Source organism: Homo sapiens, chromosome 20, assembly GCF_000001405.40.
Source record: "Homo sapiens chromosome 20, GRCh38.p14 Primary Assembly".
In the NCBI taxonomy this organism is placed as follows: Eukaryota; Metazoa; Chordata; class Mammalia; order Primates; family Hominidae; genus Homo; species Homo sapiens.
The window spans coordinates 57,248,520-57,269,615 of NC_000020.11; the positions used below are offsets into that span (position 1 = coordinate 57,248,520).

At 49.8% G+C, this 21,096-nt stretch overlaps 1 protein-coding gene and 1 long non-coding RNA gene across 2 annotated transcripts in view, besides 5 other annotated features; one reads left to right on the forward strand and one right to left on the reverse strand.

The window, feature by feature from the left end:
* The window catches only part of BMP7 (bone morphogenetic protein 7), a 97,889-nt gene extending 79,767 nt beyond the window's left edge, over positions 1-18,122 (reverse strand). Inside the window, exon 1 of the mRNA NM_001719.3 lies at positions 17,186-18,122. Coding sequence (NP_001710.1) covers positions 17,186-17,603 — 418 coding nt within the window. The 5' untranslated portion in view covers positions 17,604-18,122. The remainder of the gene's footprint in view (positions 1-17,185) is intronic.
* Positions 10,854-11,416: an enhancer, noted in NCBI's record as "H3K4me1 hESC enhancer chr20:55834429-55834991 (GRCh37/hg19 assembly coordinates)". NCBI's record gives its function as "activates a minimal SCP1, AML or CMV promoter by ChIP-STARR-seq in primed H9 embryonic stem cells {active_cell/tissue: H9 hESC(primed)}" and the evidence as "EXISTENCE:reporter gene assay evidence [ECO:0000049][PMID:30033119]".
* Positions 14,351-15,067: an enhancer, noted in NCBI's record as "H3K4me1 hESC enhancer chr20:55837926-55838642 (GRCh37/hg19 assembly coordinates)". NCBI's record gives its function as "activates a minimal SCP1, AML or CMV promoter by ChIP-STARR-seq in naive H9 embryonic stem cells {active_cell/tissue: H9 hESC(naive)}" and the evidence as "EXISTENCE:reporter gene assay evidence [ECO:0000049][PMID:30033119]".
* Positions 15,786-16,501: an enhancer, noted in NCBI's record as "H3K4me1 hESC enhancer chr20:55839361-55840076 (GRCh37/hg19 assembly coordinates)". NCBI's record gives its function as "activates a minimal SCP1, AML or CMV promoter by ChIP-STARR-seq in primed H9 embryonic stem cells {active_cell/tissue: H9 hESC(primed)}" and the evidence as "EXISTENCE:reporter gene assay evidence [ECO:0000049][PMID:30033119]".
* Positions 17,610-20,971: a promoter, noted in NCBI's record as "3.3 kb promoter fragment". NCBI's record gives the evidence for it as "EXISTENCE:reporter gene assay evidence [ECO:0000049][PMID:11401538]".
* LOC112268270 (translation initiation factor IF-2-like) lies at positions 17,921-18,768 on the forward strand. The gene is made up of 2 exons (NR_171651.1): positions 17,921-18,123; positions 18,264-18,768. It is a non-coding gene; the product is annotated as a translation initiation factor IF-2-like (long non-coding RNA).
* Positions 18,229-18,321: a transcriptional cis regulatory region, noted in NCBI's record as "AatI/PvuII fragment". NCBI's record gives its function as "negative regulation of promoter activity" and the evidence as "EXISTENCE:reporter gene assay evidence [ECO:0000049][PMID:11401538]".

Below are 21,096 nucleotides of genomic sequence, written 5' to 3' on the forward strand. Positions count from 1 at the left end.
TGAATGTGAGATTGCATGAGGATGAACTGGCTGGGGCGGCAGCAGCCATTTTGTAAGCATGAGGTAAGAGACATGAGGAATTTGAGGATGGTGGTAGGGGGAGGTGGGAAGCTCATGGATGCTTGGACAGTATCACTGAGCTGCCCCTGCAAACGTGAACTCATCTCCCTGAAGACTTGCTATTAGGGGAGATAATGACATGTTTTTGTGCTGAAGCCATGCTAGGCAGGTGTTCTGTGAACTGCAGCTGAATGAGTTTTTTGTTTTTGTTTTGTTTTGTTTTGTTTTGTTTTTTTTGAGACAGAGTCTCACTCTGTCCCCCAGGCTGGAGTGCAGTGGTGTGATCTCGGCTCACTGCAAGCTCCGCCTCCTGGGTTCACGCCATTCTCCTGCCTCAGCCTCCTGAGTAGCTGGGACTACAGGTGCCCACCACCACGCCCAGCTAATTTTTTTTTGTATTTTTAGTAGAGACGATGTTTCACCGTGTTAGCTAGCATGGTCTTGATCTCCTGATGTCATGATCTGCCCGCCTCGGCCTCCCAAAGTGCTAGGATTACAGGCATGAGCCACCACGCCCGGCTGACTGCTGAACGAGTTCTAAATGAAACACCATTCCTCTCCACAGAAGCAGGTAGTGGCCATTAGGATGTGTATCTCTTATAGTATCTGCTGTCCCAGAGGGTGTTATAGGTCCTTAAGTGTAAGTATAACACCCAGAGGGTCCTTAAGTGTAGGACCTGTATCATACCAAACTTCTTACCTTCTAGTGTTTGAAGGCAAGTGTTTTGGTATGATACAGGTCCTACACTCAAGCAGATTATTTCATCCCATGTGCAACGGAAGAAGCAGTGATCTGCTGCAACACTGGGAGAGAAACTGGGAGAAGGAACTCAGCCATATGGAGATACTGCATAACGAAACAGCTTCCCATGGAAATTCAAAGGTAATTCCCACTCTACCCAATGTCTGTCCTACCTGCTGTCTTTAGCCTACCCCTGATGCAGGGGTGACTGCATCGCACTTTTTCAAATGTCCCGGATTCTTTTCAAAATCTATGATGGGAGTTGAGTAAATAAGATACATATAATGTTTGAAATGTGAAGGTACTCAGGGAAGTGTATAGTCTTGGATATGAGGGCTGTATTTAGTCACAAACTTCCAGGCATCTCCAATGAATTACAGCTGCTGAACTAAAACATCATCAGGCCATTGTCATGTTCTCCATTGATATTGGTCTACTGTCATGTTCACGGATGAGCCTAGAAGAGGCTCTGCAGCGAGACTGGACCCCCAAGGCAGCCAGGAGCAGCCCTGTTTACTGAGAGTTCCCTGCAGGTGAGGACTGAGCCCCTTCCTGCCATGATCTCACTCAATCCTAGTGTCCTGAGCCTTGAGCCACCCACCAGAGAGGGAAACTGAGGCCCAGAGCACTCCAACCCCTTCAGTAACTTGCCTGAGGACACACACCAGTGACCTGGACCCAAAGACAGACAGACTTGCCATCCCCAAAGCTCGGCGAGTAATTTGTCATTCCTGACCCTATTTTCACATACATAAAAATAAATGTTGAAATCATGCTATTTAATGAACATCTGGCATGGGCTGGTCCTCACTTAAAATGAAGAAATGGGCCAGGTGCAGTAACTCACACCTATAATCCCAGCACTTTGGGAGGCTGAGGCAGGAGGACTGCTTGAGCCCAGGAGTTCAAGACCAGTCTAGGCAACATGGTGAAACCCAATTTCTACAAAAATATATATAGAGTATATTTTTATTAAATATATTATTTTAATATAAATATATTTATATAATATATAATATATATCTATATTAAATATAGATATATATACACACACAAAAAATTAGCCAGGCATGGTGATACATGCCTGTAGTTCCAGCTGCTCAGGAGGCTGAGGTGGGAGGGTCACTTGAGCCCAGGTGGTAGAGGCTGCAGTGAGCCAAGATGGTACCACTACACTCCAGCCTGGATGACAGAACCTGTCACCCTGACTCTGACTCAAAAAAAAAAAAAAAAAGGAGAAATTCATTTGCCCATATCAAAAAGTGAGGGAAACACAGAAATGCCACCCCACTAAGTCTGACATGAATGGTGTTCAAAGAAATAAAAGAAAAATATATAACTTTACTGTGAAAGTTTTATTGATGTGCTTTTTTTGGAGTAGGCCAGCCCACAGTCAACTGTCTAAACCCAGCAGGTTGCCTGTGCCCCCAGCCGGCAAGGGTGGGCAGATCTGGGTGTCTCCTTAAAACTCTGCACCAATAAACACAGATCTTAATCAGCAGGAGGCAATTTTCTAGTATAACAGGATTCGTCAAAATACACCCAGTTTCCTGTTTTGCCTGTGTCCAGTCGACACCGACAAGCCTCCCATTTCAGCTGAGGTATCATCGCAAAGAGAAGGCCAGCTGCCCTGATCCAAGTCCTGTGGAGACACGGCTTGGGGGCCACCGTGCCCACTGCCTGCTCTGGACCCCAGCACAAACCAGCAGCACATCCCACCACGGTGGGTAACAGAGCAGCTGAGCTCAGGGCACAGGCAGGTCCCGTGCACGGTGGGTTCCTGATTGGCTATGGTGTAGCAAATGACAGCATCACTGCCTACCACTGACATCCCCAGGCACCAGCTGCAGGCGGCCCGAGGTCAGCCCTCTTCCTGTCTCCCCACATGGGATCTTCACAGCAGCCCAGGAGACAGGCACCCACATTAACCCCAGAGTAGGAAACAGGAGACCCAGGGTTTAACAACCTGCCTGAGTCGGGGAGGTGGGGGCAGAGCGGTGGGGGCTCTGCAGTCTGACGGTCTGACTCAGACCCAAACTCTTAACTACCATCTGAGACATTTTAGAATTTTTTCAAAAACACAGGAGAACAGGGTGCTGGGACCAAGCAAACGCAGGAAAAGCCTCCCTGTGTTCGACATCACCCTTGTGGGGACTCAGAGCACATGCCTCATGTTAAAGATGCAGAGGAGTCTTCCGAGGGGACATCCTTTAACCTACAGCTTTCGCAGACTCAGAGGAGCTCCAGTGAACATGGAGGGGGGGCAGGAAGTGTGGCTGAGTCACTGTCTGCAGAAGGACAAAAGGGACAGATAAAAAACTCAGGCTTTTGGCCGGGCACAGTGGCTCACGCCTGTAATCCCAGTACTTTGGGAGGCCGAGGCAGGCAGATCCCTTGAGGTCAGGACTTTGAGTCCAGCCTGGCCAACATGTTGAAACCCTGTCTCCACTAAAAATACAAAAATTATCTGGGCGTGGTGATGCACGCCTGTAATCCCAGCTACTCGGGAGGCTGAGGCAGGAGAATTGCTTGAACCCGGGAGGCAGAGGTTGCAGTGAGCCGGGATCGCGCCACCGCACTCCAGCCTGGGTGACAGAGCAAGGCTCTGTCTCAAAAAAACAAAGCAAAACAAAACAAAACTCAGGCTTTTTTACTTTTTGCACTTTCCCAGGTAGGGGACATAGCGTGTGGAAAGCAGGGATCAATAAACCCCATGAAGAGCCAGACAGAAACTATTGTAGGCCTCGGTCACCATCGTGTCTGTGGCAACTGCTCAACCCTGTCGCAGCGGCAGTAAAGCAGTCAGAGTGAATGCGTAAGTGGATAGATGTGTTCCAATAAAACTTTATTTACAGACCTTGAAATTTGAATTTCATGTCATTTTAGTGTCATGAAATATGATTCTTCTCGAGTATTTATCACACTTTTAAAAAATGTACCAGCCATTCTTAGCCTGCAGGCTGTACTAAAACAGGTTGTGGGCTGGAGTTGGCCCGCGGGCTGGGGTCTGAAGCAAGCAGGTCTCCCTGCTCCAAGCAGCATTTAAGCTACAGGGAGACACGGGAAAATATAGCTTCTGTGCTCACCTTCCCTCTCCCACCCCAGAGTAAGTTACCTGCCAAGAGAGGGGAACAAGGTAAGAGAGAGATCTGCCCTATTCTTCCTGAGGAACGTCCGAAGATAAAAATAAAAGAGGGGCCAGTCCTCGATGTGTGTTTAATAAACTTTTAGCATCATCGAGCAAAAGGTGCAGTCAAGTATTTTGGTTCCCAGGAGACAATGCTTGCTCGTTAGAGACTTGAGCTCCATTTCAGTCTCCAGGGTGTTTCAAAGCCAGGTAGAGCTGTGTTCCCAGGAGAAGCCTCGAGTTTTGATTGCAATCTGTGCTTCTTTCAGCCAGAAAATAACCCGTCCATCTAGAAATGCTGTTTTTCCCACTCACCACTGTGGGTCAGTGCGTTTGAGGCTAAGGCTCCCAGATGAATTCCCAAGGTTGAGGCAAGTTACTCTAAACCAGTGGTTCTCAACTGGGGGCAACTTTGCCCCCCAGGGTACAGTTAGCAATGTCTGGAGATACACTTGGTTGTCAGATCCTGGGGGAAGGGCTAGGAATGCTGCCAAACATCCTATAATACACAGGACAGCTCCCAGCAGAGAACGATCTGGTTAAACATACCAATAGTGCCCAGGCTGAGAAACTGCACACTAAACGTACTAAAAAGGGCACTTCCAAGCTCCAGAGGCGCAGAGATTTCTGGGTCCCCCACCCCCTTCCATCCCCACTTCCCACCAGTATATTAAGATAATTAGGAGCTCAGGGCCTGAGTAGGCATAAGGCAAGTAGCTTCATTTATTGTTTCCTCCTAAAGGAAATGACCAACCAGTGCCTCCATCCCATAAACATTTACTAGCCTGGAAGGTTCTGAGGCCCTGCTGCCATTTTTAAGGGCTTCTCTCTCAAGAAATGTTAGGTCAAGTCAGTCAAAAACTGAAACTTGAGAAGTGGGAAGATTGGGGAATGGAGTAGGGGGCATTTTACAAAATTCAGGACCAAGAAGAAAATCGAAAGATCTTTTAGATCTCCTCCCACCCTACCCCCTCTTTCTTGACCATAAACTAACAGCTGCTTTATATCGGGCACCTTATGAATGAGGAAAAGAGAGTTTTAAAGTTCTCAGGGCACTGTCCTGTGGGTTTTTCTTTTACTTGCTGAGTCCCTGTCGTGTTAATGGGTCCGTAGATTGATTCGTTATTGGCCTTCAGGGCATCATACTGAACAGGCTCTAGGACTGGCTCTCCTGCCCCCAGCCTTGGAAATGGCAGGACCACCACAAAGAGCAGCTGGTGGATGAGCTCATGGACATCCATGCACCCATAACAGAGAAATGATGAGAGGTAGCATCATAGTTGCTTCCTTTAAAAAAAATAAATAAACTTTTTATTTTAGAATAACTTTATAAGAACATTGCAAAGCTAGTACAGAGAATACTTGAGTACCCTTCACCCAGTCCTCCCAGGGTGAACATCTTCCACAACCACAGGGCATTTGACAAAACCGAGACGTTCACATTGCTGTGTAACTGTCAACTCGACTCCAGATTTGTTTCAGACTGTACCAGTGTTTCCACAGATGTCCTTGTTCTGGCCTAAGATCCAGTCCAGGATACCACATTGTATTTTCTTTTGGTTTCTTTCCTTTTTTTTTTTTTTTTTTTTTTTTTGAGACAGAGTTGCTCTGTCACCCAGGCTGGAGTGCAGTGATGTGATCTCGGCTTACTGCAACCTCTGCCTCCCGGGTTCAAGCGATTCTCTTGCCTCAGCCTCCCAAGTAGCTGGGACTAAAGGTGTGTACCACCACACCCCACTAATTTTTGTATTTTTAGTAGAAACGGGGTTTCACCATGTTGGCCAGGCTGGTCTCGAACTCCTGACCTCAGATGACCCACCCACCTCAGCCTCCCAAAGTGCTGGGATTACAGGCGTGAGCCACCGCGCCCAGCCTCTTTTGGTTTCTTCTTATTAAAAGACAGAAAACTTGACAGAAATAGGTGAGATTTATTTGAAACTCTCATCAAAACTATCCTTTCCCTCCTCCCCACGGGCAGCTCTCACCCTGAAGGTAGGGAGTCCTTCCTGCCCATGTGTCCATGGTATTACTGCAATGTGTATGAACCCACAAACAATACATTTATGAGTTGGTCCCCTTGTGTGGGAGGTTGGGGGCGGGGGTGCCTATGTGTGTAATTAACAAATGGTTACATCCTAAACATCCTTCTGCTACTTGCTTTCTCCTTCTGACATTGTTTCCAGTCTACATTGATACAGTAAAAAAAAAAAAACAAAAAACAAAAACAAAAAGAAGTCCCTGCGCTGGGGCGACTATTCCATATCCCCTCCCAGAGCTACACCTGCTTCTCTCTCGAATCCCCTGTTCATGCACATTTTGATTTTGGGGAGTTTACAATACTACAGACCGTACACAAAGGCATGCTGGGACATACGGAAAAAAACTGTTTCTGTGGTCTTTTTTATACAGCATCTTGAGGAATTGCTATTAAAATACCAATCTCTGGCTGGCTATGGAATTTCCCCATGGAAGGGTTATGGGGTACATGTAGGTGCCCCCCACAGGCACTCAGGGCCCTATGCCCTGACAATTATTTTTAAACCATAAAGACCGAGGAGAGGGGAGGTATCACAAGCAGGGTGGATAACAGAAGGGAAAGGTGTGTGCCTGCTTATCTCTATGTCACTTATCAGAACACGGGACCACAGAGTCAAGGCCATGGGCTCGGCTTCTGTTTTAATGGTCTCAACATCATCTCCTCCACGCTCCCCGCTACCTATTCGATACCCCACAGGTTCAGGAGGAAAGAATGGGCAGCTCTGCACCCAGCAAGAGCTGGACAGACACATCTGCCCCACACTTCCTAGCTGTGCATGTTTGGGCCCCTTCAGCATCCTCCTCTCTAAAATGGAAATGACACTGCTTACCCTGCAGAATACTGAGAGAACTGCATGAGGGCCCCATAAAGATGGCTACTCTGAATCCATTGCTGCTACACAGAAAGGTCTTAGCCCTCTGAGGTCTACAATCCATTTCAGTGATGCATTTAGATGATGAAGGGGTCTCTGAATTTAATGTCTAGATTCAGCCTATGCAAGATCCTGCCTGGACTAAGAAATGTCTCTAAGGGGCCAGTTGCAGTGGCTCACGCCTGTAATCTTAACACCTTGGGAGGCTGAGGCAGGTGGATCACTTGAGGTCAGAAGTTTAAGACCAGCCTGGCCAACATGGTGAAACACCGTCTCTACTAAAAATACAAAAATTAGCCGGGCGTGGTTGTGGGAGCCTGTAATCCCTGCTACTCAGGAGGCTGAGGCAGGAGAATTGCTTGAAGCCCAGAGGTGGAGGTTGCAGTGAGTGGAGATCATGCCACTACACTCCAGCCTGGGGGATAGCGAGAGACTCCATCTCAAAAAAAAAAAAAAAAAAAAAAAAAGAAAGAAAGAAAAAGGAATGTCTCCAAGGCCCAGGAGAGAAAGCAAGCAGCTCTTCCATTGTGGACAAGATTTCATGGCGAAGTGATAACCTGTATCTTCCGGGGAAACACCAGCAGTCACCTCATTAGCCAGGAGCAGAGTAATGCTTCTTAATTCTCTAGATAGTGAACCGGACAAAAGCTGAAGCTTGCCTTTGCTGAAAGACAAGTCATAAACAGGGAAGTCACTTTACAAGTGGGAATGGAAAGAGATGTTATTGTTGTTGAACCAATTGAGTACTTCAGTGAGATGGAAGCCTCCAGAACATCAGTCTCCAAAATGAAGCGCAAGATGGGAGGAGGCAAGAGGAACCCACTGGGAGTCAGGAAAAGATATATTACAATTATAATTGTTATGCAAATTCCAACTGACAATCATGGGAGTTCACTAGCTTCAACAAAAATATCTGCATAATTGACAGGTGGGGTTGAAAAATGAAGCTCTGGTTTCAGTAACACACCCCACAACTTACTTCCCACATTTCTGTCTTTGAATCTTGTGAGAGACACTTCAATCATGATAGCGTGGTGTCATCTGTGCCATTTCCTGGACGCTCTCTGGTGCTTTGCCTTTCTGAGCAAGCAGTGGTATCGTCATCTCCTTGCCAACCTTGGGTCAGGTTTGGCCACATGGCTCACTTTGGCCCATGAAATGTGAGCAGAAGCTCTTTCAGGTGGAAGAGTAAATTTTGGGGTACATACCCTAAATAGAAATAAGTTGTGGCTGGGCAAGGTGGCTTACGCCTGTTATCCCAGCACTTTGGGAGGCCAAGGCGGGTGGATAAAACCTGAGGTCAGGAGTTTGAGGCCAGCCTGGCCAACATGGCGAAACCCCATTTCTACTAAAAATAAAAAATAAAAAAAAATAACAAAAATTAGCTGGGCGTGGTGGTGGGCACCTATAATCCTAGCAACTTCGGAGGCTGAGGCAGGAGAATCACTTGAACCCAGAAGGCGGAGGTTGCAGTGAGCCAAGATCGCGCCACTGCACTCCAGCCTGGGCAACAAAAGCGAAACTCCATCTCAAAAAAAAAAGAAAAAAAGAAATAAGTTGTATAACTACTAGTTAGGATCATTTGTACTTCATAAAACAGACAAAAATAGAAATTTTTGAAGTTAGAAAGTCACTCCCAGGTAGAAATATTAAAAGCCAACGCACAGTTCACATTATCTTTCCTTCTGGCACCTTATTCGTAACATTCTGAGGACCTCAGCCTCTCCCAGGGACTCTGCTGCCACCAATGTGCAGAACTCCACGCCTCCACCCTGAACCCACGATAGAGCTATAATGTGATACAAATGAAAAACAAACTTCTGGGATTTTTAACGCACCAAGATTGTGAGTTTCTTCACACACAATAACTTCATTTATACTGACCAGATGAAGGGTCATCGAAATTTGGGACCAGGCCTTTAGATCAGTGATTCTAAACTGTTAAATCATGATTTTGAAAACACCAAAGAACAGTCCATTGCACCGCAAATTTTCATGACTGCAAACTTAATTAAATTATATTAAAATTTAATTTTAATTAAATGTATATTGTTAATTAAAATTGTGTTAACAATTAAAATTAAAATGATTCATTAGTTAAAATTTGTATTAATTAACAAACACCAAAATTTTGTATTGCTTTTAGCTTTAGTGTCTCCTACTTAAATTTCTATTTTTGTCTATGTTTTATGAAGCACAAGCTATCCTAGCTATCCTGCAGTAGTTATACAACTTATTACTATTTAAGGTATGTACCTGAAAAGGTAGTAGTGGGAATTGGAGATCAAAAGCATTTAGAAGAGACTGCTTAGAATGTCTTCATGCCATATGTGCACCGAAACAACCAATATCTGAGCACCTTCTATGCCATGAGAATTCTGCAAGGCTGTGCATGGGCAGGAGAATAAGGCTGTCTGAAAAAAAACAGGAAAAGTGTCCTTTATTGAAGGCCAAAACACAAGCCACCAAAAAAAAAAAAAAAAAAAAACTTGCCTGCCTTTGTGTGTGTAAGTTGCCAGGGGGATGAGCACTTGGACCATTATATGCCAACTGTCATGCTAAGAGCTTAGCTTTTTCTTTTTCTTCATGTAGTCCAAGCTACATGAAAGCAGAAGACAGGCTGGAAGCACAAGACAGGGCAGGCCTAAACCCAATGCTTAGAAACACACAAGTCCTCGATTTTGGAAACGGTGCAAGTTTTTATTCGTGGCCAATTTTAATTAAGCCAGGCAACAAAAGATTGAAACTTGAAAGCTACTCCAGGGAGATAAAGATGTGATAGAACACGTGACCTCAGAGATGCAGGGAAACCTAATACTTGGTGAGTCGGATTTTTCAAACAGTATAAAGAGCTGAAGGGAATTTATGGAAAGTCTTGAATGAGAAACGCCACCCCTCGGTATCTGGCCCTGAAGCCATTCTCTTTCGTCCTCTGGTCTCTAGAGGCTTCTAAACATGCTGAATCCACACAGGGCTTTGTTGTTGCAGCCTAACCCCAGCTGCGGGAGCCTTGGGCAGCCTTGCACCTGCTCCAATAAAAAGTGGGGAAGTTGTGCAGTTCTGTTAATGAATGCTTTGGGCTTGTCACTCCCTTGAAGGAAAAGACAATTTGTACTTTGACCATCTTCCAGAAAGGATTGGGAAGAAATACTTCAATAATGCAATTTTTTAAATGAAACATTTTATTTTGAAATTAATTTTTAATTCAAAGTTGCAAAGGCACTACAGAGAGTTCCGGTATACCCTCTCACTGAGTTCCAGTTTCCCAAGTAGTAAAATCATTAAATAACCATAGATGCTAAAATTGGGGAAAAGATTCAGCCTTAGACTCTATTCATCCTCAAATAAGTTTGGTGCATTCATTCAAATTCCATTGATCTCTGAAAGAGGGAGGCGCACACATATTCACACTCTGGGGACCATTTTCTTGACATTTAAAATAACATGGGCAGTTTAATCTCAGTATTTTAAGATTAAGTACTTAAAAACTGAAATTTGGACTAATATACCAACGTAAATCTTCATCTGGCCAACACAATAAAAACAAGAGCTACCATTTGTTTTACACCTACTAGGTGACAGCCTCTGCGCATGGGTGATATGATTTCTATTTCTTTAGAATCTGTTGAGGAAGAGATTCTCTTGTAGCCTTTATAAAATGAGGACACAAATGCAGAGATGTTAAGTAACTTGCCCAAGGTCACACAGCTAATGTGCTGTCATAGTGGAAACAGACACATAGGTTTAGGCTGTGTCTAAAGAGAATCACTGTGGATGCCGTTCCAATCTCCCTTGCCAAGTCACACCCACTGCTGTCACCGAGAACTTCCGTTACACGGCAGTGAAGCCCCCAATCCCCCACCCCATATATCACCCAGAATTAGCTGCAAAGTGTCAGGAGACTTGGCCAGGCAGCCCCAAGCATCAGCGAGGGCTGGAAGCCTTCACTGTGAAGCCCTTTATAGAAAGCCGCGGTTGGCAGCCCCCGCTCCTGCATGGGAACAAATTAACATTGGCATTCCAAACACAGGAAAGGAAGGAAATTGGAAACACAGTTTATACTTGGCCAGCCCTTTGAAATACTGTACCATGCTACCGACATCAATTAATGAAAAGCAGGGTTGTGTGAGAGGCTCTGGTTTGGAAATGCATTAACACACGTTCAACATGTTTGCACAGGAACCGGATTATATGCACCCTGGCTCCAAAACAATAAAGCAATTACCCTAAAGCTGGTGCTCTCGGAGTTGTCATTAATTCAATCCACTCCACGCGGATCAGCACAGGCTTTGCGCGGCTCCCCACAATGCCTTCCGACACAAATGTTGAAAAGGCGGTATTGCACATGCTTGCCTGAGTTTCGCATAAGTAAGTGTCAAACTTCATGCACTCTAATATCCCCCCAAATCATAAACACTCTACTTTGGAGCGGAAAAAAATACACAGCAGCAGTCCTAGTATTCCCTGGCATTGCTATTTCAGTTTGAGTTTGAGCAATTTTTTTTTTGCCGGGGAAGCTTAAATGAACTATCTGTTCCATATTAAGAAATACCAAGTCACATTTTTTGTCAATTATTATTTGTCAGATGCCATTTGCTGCAAAACCCGGAATTCAATCCCAGCTTGAACACACAGCTAATACCAAACGGCTCACTAATAGCCGCGGTCGTACATGGGATCATTTGCAGTGAACAAACGCCCTTCCTCTATAAACTGTTTCAGGGATTGGAAAGAAAAGCATGTGAAGCTCTGGAATAAATAAAGCACCGTGCCTTGAGCTGCCCAGTACATGACCCTTGCATGCTGTGAGAACAGGCTCAAAATGACCCAAGAGCAAGTGCCCACTTCGCAATTTTGTAAGAATGCTTCCGAGAAAGGATTTTAGATGATGTAGGTAAATCTCATTGTTTTTGACCTGCAATAGAAAGAACCAGCTCGCTTCTTGAAGGACCAGCATCCCCAGTCACTGCCTCTACACACATGTCCACCTGCATCTGGAATCCAGGGTCCAAGCAACAGACATCACGGGTGTCTCCTCCCCGCTCCTGGTGACGTCATCTCCTCAGCTCAACTCCACGTTGATCTGGGATCCATCAAGTTGGAGCAATTTGAGTGTGTAAAGCTAAATGTGTTATCATTTTCACCACAAATTAACAGTTTCTATGTAAATATTGGTAGTTCCTCACCCCATGAAGGCGAGAGAAGGCAAAATGGCACCGGCGCATTTGATTTAAACTAATTAAAAGCAGAGGGTTGTGCAATTCAATATATTGATTTTACCAGTGGGACTTAAATCTTTTATAATAAGTGTACACAGCTGCAGTGCTCTCCCACCACTACGCTGTAAAGGCTAATCCGCACATTCCTTCTGACAATAACATGACAGGTCCCACACATCCCTGCCTGTGCCCTAACCCCGGTGACAGTGCCAGAGTGCATTAAGGCGAAGCCTTGCAGTGGCTTGCCAAGAAACCAGTGTGCCAACAGCCCCCCCGCTAAGACTGAAGAGTGAGCGTGAAAGAATTAATGTGGCCAGAAGCATGGTGCAAAGGGCTCCCCATTCAAAATATTCAGGCTGTTACACGGATGGGCAGATGGGGAAGGGTGGAGACGGGGGAGACTTAGGGCACGCTGATTCTTGCAATGGGCCAAATATGACCTTACCAAATGAGGGAGAGATATTAAAGTGATAGGAGTGATCAATCAACTTAGATGGGACTCTCCCTGGAATGAAGTCACCAGTTGTCTCTGAGTTCAGCGGACACGTGATATTCACTCACATCGCAGGCATTCCGGTGGTGAGGGGATCGCGCACCAGCTGTGTTTATCTCGGCAAAGGCTTGAGAGCCTACTACGCCATGGTAAAGCCCCAAACCGTAGCTTGAGAGGGCTGCATCTCAAAAGCGGTTTCGTCTGTCTGTGCATTCAGACAATCATCCCCCTTGCTGCCCTGAAACTGATTTGCAAGTGGGCCATCTCTGTTACCCCTTCCATGGGGACCGCTCCACAACCGAATGACAACCCTGGAACCAAAACCAAAAACAGCCACCCAAGTTGGCATCCAGGGCTCAGCCTTACCCTGCCTTGATTCCAGAAGGAAAATACATAGAAAATGAAAAAAGTTCAAAGCTGGGTCACATACATGCTTGGGAAAAGTGGAGGAAAATCTTTGATTTATATAAGCAGGAAAATGAGGTTTAAAAGAAGTGATTTTGAAAGGGTTACGAAAAACACAGCTGTTGGTGCACTCCTATAGCAAAGGCGCTCTGCAGAAAGAAAGAAGGGGGGAGCTGTGTGACATCTATATTAACCTTTGGCTGCTCACCAGTGAGGGCCGGCGCTCCGAGTGCTGGAATGTGGAGCAGCCCCTTCCAAATTTTAACACAAGCCAGGTTACAGCTGCAAATGCCTGCAGTCCACGCTCCCCTTTGCGAAGCACTCCCTGAAGGAAATTTTTAAACTGTAACAGAATCTTTTTCTAATACTCTACAGTGGTAGGGCCTGCTCTTGACGGGCAGTGGGAGAGGTCTTAATGCCAAACACTTGTCAACAAAAAGGACAGCCAGATGGCATAAAGCAAAAATCAAACTGCACGGCCTTCTCCCTACTCTTCAGCTACATTAACAAAAGCCACTTTTATAGGCTGACTCCAATAATGATAGGTTTCCAACTTTCTCTTCTTTTCCTTCAAAGATTACACAAATTTCATGCCTTCATTACCTGGACCAGAGATAAACATGATGACTTCCACTCCCCTAGTGCCAGCCGGCTACTTTACAAGATTCCTAACAGAGCTGCTGGATCTTCCCAGAGAAAGAATGGTAACGGGCTATGGCTAGATGCAGTGTGCGGAGTCGCCATTGCCTGGGGATTATTTAAGAGAGGGTAGCTGTTTTGAATTCCAAAATTAAGTCTACAAAGAGGAGTCGGGGTTGTTAATCCAAACCAGTTTACAAATCTTGCCATTGAACTTAAGGGGCCCAGGCTGGGAAGATGGGAGTCTCACTCAGGCAGCTCAGTTCACATTGCCTGGGGCTTTATGGTACAGGCTGGGCTTTGTCATAAGGTGCGGCCTTTAGTCCTCATTCCCACCACCTGGTTTTGTCGTAAATTCCCCTCTAGTTTCCCCTCTAGTTTAGATCCCGCTCAGCCTGGCAAAAAACTTGAATTCCAAGAACGACTTATAGGAACAAAAACCAGTTTGGCGGCAGACAGAAGGAAGAATAAATGCACCAGGTCTGCAAAAGCCTTCAGAATTCAGGCAAGGGTCCCCCCTCCCGCGCACGCAGGCCGCCTGCCTGCAAGACAGCAGAGCTCTGCAGTGCAGGGCGAAGGGGCAGCAGAGGCTGCCAAGATCCTCACCCATGCCCCCCCCGCCAAACTCCCACCATAATAAGAAGTAATAGTTTGATATGTGCAAGTGATATTTTCTCACTCTTATGTAAATTGTGAGAATAAACTTGCCTTTAGAAAACTTCGAATACTACAGATCAACATGATTTGCAATCCAAGGAAAAACACTATAGCAGTACTTTCTCAGCAAACTCAGTGGCCAGACAAGTCTCCTACACCTCCCCCCAACCCTCTCCAACCCTACTGCCACCCCCAAGTCCCTCCTATGGAGAAATTCCAAGCTACAACAGGATAGAAGGGACAGGCCATTTATTTGTGTGCTGCTGCTTAGCAGAAATTAAAGGCCAACATTAGAAGCATCTACAGGAAGTGTCTCGCCAAACTGCAGCCCAGGTCTTCACCTAACTAATGACCTCGAGTTTAGGGACAGAGAGAGAAAGAAAACAAGGTCAGTGCGCTCTGTTAAAAGCCACTCTGCCATCTAATTTGGAGTGATGTCCCAGAAAGCTAGACCTGAGAAAGTCAGGGTCCCACAAAGCCCAAAGCCAGCCTGACTGATTAAGAGGCTCAGACAAGCCGGTCTTTGTCCTTTCAAGATGAAAGAAATGGATTGAAAGGTGTATGTACAGCCAGAGGAGGAAAACCACCCAGCTGTGGCCTTCCCAAACAAGTCCCAGCTTGCTCCTGCCGCCATGGGGGGAGCAAATAGCCCGCACCAAAGTTCCCAGAGGCACCCTCCGAGCAACCTGGTCTTTCTCTTGGGGACAGGGAGCCCCGGGGCCTAGCCCACACTGCCGGCCCATAAGCACTGGGGGCTTTTTTGCTCTTGGTTTGCAGGGCCTTCTGCAGAAGCCAGAGATTACAAATACCTTTTTAATGATTCCAGCCAGGCTCTGAAGGCAGCCACTGGGACCTGCACATTCAGTGGGAGTCCGGGGTACCCAACAGAAGGGAAGATGCTATAAATCCCCCACCAGAGAAAGGGCCCTGGCTAACCCCAGGCTTCAGGAGGGCGACAGAGCTCTGCGTTCATTATTTATATGTATGTATTTGGAATTTTCCTTTAGTTTTTGGTATAGTTAATAAATACACATTGTTTTAAAAAAATCACAAATACAGAAGTGCAGACGACGAAAAATCAGACCCCACCTCCCACTCCGTAAGCCCCAGCTATGCCCCCGCCTCTCTACCCCTCCAGTAAAATCTCTCTCCAGTTCCTGGTGTCTTCCTCCAGGAGGACACGATGATATACAAGCACACATGCAGCCCACTCATCTGCACCTTGCTTCTTTCCACCTCATACATCTTGGAGATGGTTCTAAATCAGGTCATATGTTGCTGCTTCCTTCTTAACTGGCTGCTTAGTATAATTTAAACTTTTTTGAAGGTATTTTGGCATCTAAACCTCCCACCCCTTGCTCGCTGAAGCTTGGTTCACTAGTTGGATTTAGTTATTATTAAGTACAGACAATGGCCTCCCGGGAACTCCAGGGACCTTATCAGGAGGGGGAAGCATGAAGGCGGATCTGCGCTTCCCCCGCGCCCCCAGTCCACGCCCCAGGTGCCCAGCGTGGGGCTTCAGTATCATTATTTCCATGTTGACACAGCGCCCGTGGGCGTGAGTTTGCTGTCTTGACTTGGTTCGGGTTTTCGCAGCAAGTTACACAAGTAGAATGAAAGCGGCTCAGGAAACAGCGCTATCGGGGTGTGTTATCTCGGAAACCAAATATTTGATCATCAGTCCCGCAGCGCGCTGGCGCTGCCGGGGGGTTAGTTTGAGCAAGTCTGGAGAATGTGCGCGCACATATGGAGGGGGAGCTCCCCGGCCCTCGCTGCAGCCCCAGGCTCGCGTCGCCGGGGTCGTCGCGGCTCCAGTCGGAAACCGGGACCCCCAGCCGCCCCCGCGGCGTCAGCTCTGAGATCCCGCGCAACCCAATCGCCAAAACCTGTGGTTTGCGCGCCACACGTGGTAAATGCTGAAAATAGATTCTGCCGGCCCGGGACCTACCACTAAATACTTAAAATAGAAGACTAGCGGCAGGGCACAGTGGCTCACGCCTGTAATCCCAGCACCACTTTGGGAGGCTGAGGCGGGAGGATCACCTGAGATCGGGAGTTCGAGACCAGCCTGCCTAACATGGAGAAACCCTGTCTCTACTAAAAATACAAAATTAGCCAGGCATGGTGGCGCATGCCTGTAATCCCAGCTACTCGGGAGGCTGAGGCACGAGAATCGCTTGAACCCGGGAGGCAGAGGTTGCGGTGAGCAGAGATCGCGCCATTGCACTCCAGACTGGGCGACAAGAGTGAAACTCCGTCTCAAAAAAAAAAAAAAAGAAAAGAAAAGAAAAAAAAAGAAAAAAGAAAAAAATAAACAAAGAAAGAAAACAAAGAAAATTAGCAATGGCACCGTTTCTTCCCCAGCTCCAGCCAAGAGAGAATGGGGCATCCGGCGGCCCGGAGAGGGGCCCCAAGGCGCTCGGAGCGCGCGGTACGCTAAGGCGGGCGCACCACGAGGGGACAGGTAGGGCTTGACAGGGAGGGTAAGGGGGTGCGACGGCCGCGATGCCAGAGCCAGGCAGGGCTGAGAGGGGCCCAGGAAGGGCGGCAAGGCAGCCTCGCCGGGAAGGGCCCTTTACATCCAGGTAGCGCGAGCCGCGCCGGCCCGGGACAGCTCACATGACCGAGCCCCGCGCTTTGAACGGCCCTTGCCTCCAGCCCCAGAGATGCGGCCGGCGGCGTAACATGGAGGGGACTTCGGAGGATCCCTCCTTCCCAGTAACCCCTACAGGCTCACCGAACCCAGCGCGCCCGACCTGGGGGCGCACACAGCTTGGGAGTCATAGGGCTGTGGGTGGGAGACCCTCGGGCAGGCACTGCGATTTCAGCCAGGAGCGGAAAGCTGGGCGGGCTGCATAGAAGAAGCGGCTCCCTCCCTCCCAGTCTCAAAGTGCCCCCGAAAGGAGACGCGTACCCTCGCCTGCCCTTACTCACCGAGGTTGACGAAGCTCATGACCATGTCGGCGTCGGTGAGGAAATGGCTATCTTGCAGGCTGGCCAGAGGGGGGCCCTGGGTACTGAAGACGGCCTTGTAGGGGTAGGAGAAGCCCTGGCCGCCGGGCCCGCCGCCCTCCTCCACCGCCATGGCGTTGTACAGGTCCAGCATGAACATGGGTGCCGAGTTGTGCTTGCCCTGGAGGTGCGGGCGCGGGCGGTGGGGCAAGCCCAAAATGGAGAGGATCTCGCGCTGCATCTCCCGCCGCTCCTGGCTGCGGAGGCGCCGGTGGATGAAGCTCGAGTGCACCTCGTTGTCCAGGCTGAAGTCGGCCAGGGCGGAGCGCAGCAGGAACAGGGGTGCCCAGAGCGCCACGAAGCTGTGCGGCGCCGCAGCTCGCAGTGAGCGCACGTGCATCGCGCCGGCTCTACGCGCTACCCGGGCTCCGGGCTCCGGGCCCGCACCGCCCCAGGTGGCAGAGGGGGCAGGCGGCCGTCCGCGCCGCTCGGTCACTTGCTGCAGACGGGCCCCGCTGCGCCCGCGCCAGACATGGCCCCTCCCCGGCCGGCCGCGCTCTGCCCGGACCCCCGCCCCCTGCTCGGTGCTGGCCCCGGGCCCCTCGCCCCGCACTCGCCCGGGCGCACCGCAGGGCTTGGAAAGCAGCCCCGGCGAACGAAAAGGCGAGTGAGGAGGCGGGCGCGGGTGGGAGGAGCAGCCAGCAAGCCTAGGAGTCCAGAGAGCCAACGCCGGGGAGGCAGCGAGGAGGCAGGCGGGCGGGCGAGCGCTCCTTCTTCCCGCTCCTCTGGCGCTCTCGCCCTCGGGCGGCGGCAACCCACCCTCTTCCAACCTCCGGCGCGGATAGCAGGGGCCCCGGGGCGCTCTCCCAGCCTTGTGCGCCCTGGATCGCACAAGAGGCCGCCTCGGGAGCGCCAGAGTGGTACGCGCTGGGGCCTGGGCGGAGGAGGAGGAGGAGGAGGACGGGCTTCGAGGGGCCCCTCCCGCGCCGGCGGCCTCCCACCTGCCCTCGGCCCCGCCCTCCCCCCAGCTGTGCCCAGTGGGTTCATTCATTCCCTCTAGAGCGCTCGACAAATGTTTACTGAGTGCCCACGGGGTGCCTAGAGCCTGGCGGGACGTCGCGGGGATGCGGCTGGAGGAATCGGAGCCGGCCCTGCCCTCTCGGCACTCGCGGTCCGGACCAGGAAGGCGGCCCGAGCAGGACGGGTGGGCTGCGGACCGCGGTGGGAAAAGTTGGGGGAGCGCGGAGGTGGCGCGGAAATAGAAGGCTTCCTGGAAGCGGTGACCCTTGAGCCGGTCTTGCCCCTCAGTCCCTGTATCCTTTTAAGCCAGCCACGCTGACCCCTCCGCGCCTCCCTGAAGCCGTTGCCAGCCTGTCTCTGCGCTCGCCATTCCCTCCGCCTGGACCTCTCCCCACTCACCACCTCCCGCCCCCATCAGACGCTGCTTTCTCCTCCCAGAGACCTCCAAGACCTGCCAAGCTGAGGTTGTTTCCTCGCCTCGCCCCTCGCACGTTTGTTTTCTTTCCTGTAGTTTCTCTTGCTGTCTGGAATTGCTGTTTGAGTTACTCCGTGCCTTCTTTATTGCCTTCTTACCCCCGCTAGACACCCAGAGCACTGGGGCCCGGATCAGCGATCTTCTCCGCACCTCTGGTACCCGCAGTGCCTTGAACCCAGCGCCTGGTAGCCACTGTAGCTGCGCAGTCACGATTTGTTGAGTGAATAAGTGAACTGCGTGTGAGCTGGGGGGGTTCTTCCCACCTCCTCCTCTTCGGGGCCCTGTATCTTTCCAGCCACCCCTCAGCCTGAGACCAGACACCCCAGCCCCACCACTAGGGCTTCCCATCAGCCCTCCTCGTGGCAGTGCCTGGGGAGCCAGCCGCTGGTCTTCACATCCTCTTCCCCTCCAAGGGTCTGTGCCTGAGACCTCCCCATCGGCCTCCTCTCCTGTCTCTCCTCATCCATTCATCCCTCAATCAATACCGAGCCATGCACGCTGTCACAGGGAGTCCCCAGACCACTCAGAACCCACCGGTCCCTCTGCCGGTGTGGGATCTCAAGGGAATTACTGCACCCAGAGTGGCAGTGAGGGCAGCGGGGTAAAAGTTCATCCTGTCTCCTTCCCCTCCTGGGGCTGGGTGAGAGAGTGGGTCCCCAGAGGGCCTTTGGGATGAACTGGGAAGGGCTGAGGTTGGGGAAGCGGGGGCGCTTGTCTGGGAGGGGCTCTGGCTAAGCCTCACTTTGGGGCTGTCCTTCCTGGAGCAGGAGAGCTGGGGAAGAGAATTATGGTCTTCTACAGTTTTCTGGAGCAGAAGTAGTTTGGCCAAGTGGCCCTCTGGGTCTCCCTTGGGGACTTTTGGACTAGATGGCAGCCTGAGGGGCCACATGGGTGGAGAAAGGGGAGGCCAGAGGCCAGGCAAGGAGCAGAAAAATGCCAGCCTGCAGGTCCTGGCCATTTACACACAGGCCCCAGGCTGTGGGATGGAACAGGTCTTGAGCCCCATGCCAGGGAGGGGCCTCTACCCACCCACCAGGCAAGGCCCTCAAACCACCCCCACCACCTGCTCTTCATCCATTCACTCCTTCCTTCAACAGACAAGCATGGAGCACAGGATATCAGGAGGCGAGCTGTGGGGCCTGCAACCTGGACAGTCGTACAGGGCCCCCCAGCTCTTAAGGGCCCCACACTTGGTTTCCTACTCTGAGGTCACCATATGTGGTTCTGAATCACCTATGAACAAAGTACCCCCTGCCCCGTACTAATTTTGCACCTGGCCCAGATATTATGTGGCCAGTCCCAGGGCCAAGCACCATGCTGGGCAGGAAGACATGGCCATGAGCGAACCCACATGGCAGACTCCATCAAGGAGCCGGCCTCCAGGCCAGGGAAGCAAAGCAAGAGCCTTAAATAAGATTCAGGGACTGAAGGAGAGGCAGATCTTGTCTATCACTCTCTCTGGAAACAATTCAGAAGCCAGGCAGAGGAGGACATGCAGGAGGGAGAAGGAAAGGTGGGCATCCTGGCAAGCAGGAATCCTACCCCAGGGAGACTGGGGAAATTGCAGGAGTGCCACAGTCGTCCAGGGTCCATCTGAGAGTGTACAACTGGAGAGCCTGGGTCACTTCAGCCTGCAATAAGTGACAGGCAGTGGGGGCGGGGGCGCAGATAAACAGGGTGAGGTGATGGAGGGTGGGAAGGGGAGTTTTTGGAGGAGATGCCACTGACCTGAGTCCTGAAAGACAAGAAAGAGACAGGCTTTTCCAGGGAAAGGCATCCCAGGTGGAGGAACAGCAAGTGCTTGAGCCCTGCAGAGCAGGGAACAGAAACCAGGCTCGGTCCCCAGCCCTGCACACGCCCTCCAGCGCTGGCTTGCTAGGGACAGGCTATGCCACCTCCAGTGCCAGTAGAGAAAAAGGAGGTCATTTTCTTCCAAAGTCTGAAATAATAAGGAGCCAAAGCAGCCCTGTTCTTCAGTAGTAGTCTCTGCTTTTTATCTACTCTCAAATCTTTTGGAGGGATCTTCACAAGCAGGTGAGGCTGGGGGCAGGGGCAGCAGGTCTTGGTGCTACAATTTACATATGAAACAACTGATCCGTCAGTGTCTAAGCAAGGATTCTAGTTTACCCTTCTTTGTGCATCTCACCTGAGCCTATTCTGAGCCTGGCACACAGCAGGTGCTCAATTAGTACCTGTTGAATGAATAGTAATAAGCACAGCCAAAACCTAAAGAGACCGGTTGACTGAGGGCTGACTGTGCAGGCGCCAAGCTAAGGCATCTCCCAGATCCCTCACCCCAGCAACCCTTCCTCTGAGACGCCATCTTTTCTCATGCAAGAGGAAGAGACAACATGCTCTTCATATCCAAGACCTCAAGAGATAAGGTTTCCTCTGAAGT